Source organism: Homo sapiens, chromosome 18 (assembly GCF_000001405.40).
Source record: "Homo sapiens chromosome 18, GRCh38.p14 Primary Assembly".
NCBI classification, from domain to species: Eukaryota; Metazoa; Chordata; class Mammalia; order Primates; family Hominidae; genus Homo; species Homo sapiens.
In genome coordinates, this window is record NC_000018.10 from 71,113,770 (window position 1) to 71,117,259 (window position 3,490).

The 3,490-nt window shown below is 36.0% G+C and overlaps 1 annotated feature.

Moving 5' to 3' along the window:
• Positions 705 to 1,904: an enhancer, noted in NCBI's record as "BRD4-independent group 4 enhancer chr18:68781710-68782909 (GRCh37/hg19 assembly coordinates)". NCBI's record gives its function as "activates an origin of replication core promoter dependent on BRD2, P300/CBP, MED14 and CDK7 cofactors, and independent of BRD4, by STARR-seq in HCT116 cells {active_cell/tissue: HCT116}" and the evidence as "EXISTENCE:reporter gene assay evidence [ECO:0000049][PMID:35650434]".

Sequence of the window (3,490 nt, forward strand, 5' to 3'; positions counted from 1 at the left end):
TGCCCCATCCTTCTGAGTAGCTGTAGCTGGTTCCACAGGTGTGTGCCACCACGCCTCACTAATTTTTTTCTTCTTTTTTTATTTTTAATTTTTTTAATTTTTAGTAGCTATGAGGTCTCACTATGTTGCCCAGGCTGGTCTTTTGGGCTCAAGCAATCCTCCCACCTTGGCCTCCTAAAGTGCTGGGATGACAGGCGTTAGCACTGCACCTGGCCAAATATTTACTTTTAATGTTTTAGCTTTTTACGTTCAAAAAAGGCAGAGCAGTTATGGAGAGGGTAGAGAATGAGAGCCTGAATATAAACTCACAAACCTCCACTCTTCTGAAGAAGCTTTACTAAATTTTGAGGCTATTTGAAGTACGGTTTTAAAATAATTATTTTAAAGAGCAATAAACTTAAAATCTTGCAACCTTGTGGAAATTTCCTTAAAGTTAAGTATAAAGTTCTTACAAAGTGAAGCCTATTGTGAATAGACTGTCAAATATTTTGAAATTTGGAAGTTAAATTTAATACTTAATATTATTCAAAATATTCATTGAAAATGAACAACGCTTTTTCAATAGTAATGTCTATAGAGAGTGCTAAAATTTAACAACTTTATCTTTTTATAATTCCTTAACTAGAAAATATGTCTAATTTCTTCACTTGTTGCCATAAAACACATGGCTACAAATAGTACGTAATTGACAACACAGAATAAAGCTGAATCCAGTGGTTAGGTATTTGAAGTAAGCACCATAGTATATAACTTATAATAGTTCAGGTCATGAAGGACTGTTAGAATTCAAGAACACAAAGAAACAATGGATAAAATATAACAAAAAAGTATTTAAATATATTGATGAACTAAAAAACAAGAGCAGGAAATCACCAGGGCTACAGGAGCTAGTGCGCAGCACTCTTCTGGGAAGATTTGGAGGATGCACAATTTCCTAATGAAGCTCATTTTCGAATGTCCATATAAGGACACAGGAAGGAAAAAGAGTCAGGTTTGAGGCCTACATAAGGAACGACACACCCTCCTGTATGTTCTCAGGAAACCATACATCGGCTCACCTCAAAGTGCTGGCCCACACGCAAACCTGGGATTATAAAATCATTCCCCTTTGGCCTGGAGAAATGAGAAGAAATTTCCTCGCATGTCATGCCACTCAGATGAAATTGAAAACTAAAACCCATCCCACATGTTAACATAGATCTGAAGAGCTTCAGCTCCGTGCAGCAGGACTCCAGCCAACACTGAGTAATGAAAACGAAAACGGTTTCCTAGATGGTGAATCCCCTAGTTTCCCTGCAGAGGCAAATGTAAAATTAACATAGAGAGAAATTTCCATAATCTGGACACAGAAGTTCCAGGCAAAAAGAAAAGGCCCGTCAAAGAAAAGTTCCCAGTACAGAAAACTGCTTGTTACATGAGGAAATTAAGAAGTAAAACGAAATGGGCATATGTGAGAACAAAAGGCAATGATCACTCCAAGAACGGGAGACAGTAGAGTTGTGATATTTGCTTAAGAGAAAATACTGTCAGAAACTGAAAGATCGAGTCTGAACATTTTTACTATCAAGAAGGAAATGCCAGTACCTCTCCAAGATGAGATATGAGGGGAAAGGAAGGGGGTGGATTTTAGAGCCACAATCTCATGAATCACCTCTGCTCGCATTTAGTACGGCAAAGCCTCCGAGTGTTACTGCGTGGCTGTGTAGGTATCATCGGGTTTGCTGGGCGTGGCCAGCTATAAGACATGGGTGAATGTTTTGGAAAAAGCTGTCCAGCTGCCTCTGCTTTATACGGGGTGACCCCAAGTTGGGATTGTGTGGCCTGATCAGGCCAGCCCACTGAGGGGCCCAGATCAGGATTTATCATAGAATGACTTGATATTCATAAAACATGTTGGACGGTGTCCAGCACATTGTACTTGAGACATAACAATTGGAAAATAAAAACGGCAATACAAGACAATAAAATATGTATGCTTAAGATGGAAAACAACGGCAAGAAGAAATAGTAACACAAGATTCAAATGCACAAACTGGGTGTTAAGATTTACTTCAATTTATAAATATAGAAAAAATAGACACTGGAATCATTGAGTAATCAGTGCTTGCATTTAAGTAGTTTAGAAAATGGAATTGCAAGGTCCTAGGTTGGAAGACAGAATGGAAGAAAGAATCTCCCTAAAAAGCATAACCCTGAGGAAACTATTTATACCCCATAGATTTATATATTTATCATATATTTCAGCAAATGGCAACAGCATATCTACTTTTTTAACAAAGGCAGCATATTCTAACAATTTTCTTAGAGAGAAAAAGAAATTTGTTTTCAGAAATGAATGCTTTTTTAAAAAATGCAGGAAAATAAGTTGGAAATGCTCTGACCAGGGCCTGTGAAATCAATTAATTATCCTCCCATGTAAACTAACTGCTGTTCTCGTAGGAAAGGAGCAGACTTACCTAATTTTTTTAAAATGCCAGAGTTTCATTGTAAATGGTCCCAAATCATACAAATCAATATGAAGATCTAATAGGGTAGAAATAATTAGAAATATGTAAGATGTGAAGGAGGAGAGTGTGTTGAATAATTGGAGAGAAAAAAAAGGATAGAGAAAATAAATAGAAAAATGTGAATGTTAAAAAAAAGAGAAAGATAATGACCAACAGATTTCTCATCAGTCAAATCCGATCATTTTGAAAGTGATAATTAAAAACAAAAAGTATAAAATGCAAGGCCTTATGTATTCAGGGAATTATTAAAATTAATGAAATTATTTTTCACCCCACTTAGCATTGCCGTTCTCTTTCATAAAAACCTGACTTAATGTTTTCTTACTAAATGTAAGTATTTCACTTTCAAAAAAAGAACAAATGTTCTCTAGCTAAAATAAATAGAAAACAGGAAATGAGAGGCTAATTTTTCAGGGAAATGGCACTGTGCCAGACGGCTCATGTGTTAACAAGAATATTCAAATGATCCTCACTGACCCTGGTGGCTTCCTTTCACCCAGATCCCTCAAATGTGACTATTACTTGGAGAACTGTAGGGAGCAGATGCATGAGAAGAACACATGTTATGATTGCGGCATTAATATCTACCTAATTATATACGTGTTTATAGGACCATTCTAATGAATTTTGACAATTTACAAAACTATATCCTAGTTTACAAAATCAACATCCCCACCCTTCATACATGCCATGTGCCATGGATCAGCAGAATATCAATCCAAATGCCAAAATTCAATTTTATTCTCGCAGCTTATTTTGCTTGACTCTCTGAGACATAGTTAACTTCTCTTTATCTCACATTCCTTTGCCACTAATGAGGATATTATTGTATTGGGTTGCTTAGTGAAACAGTTAATATAAAATGATGCAATAATACTTGTCAAATATGAGGAGCTTTACTGATTAATGAAATAAATAGTGCAAACTACCTGCTTTGTTTCAATGTGATTAAGAGAGTGCTAGAGATTTGTGAGAGAACATAA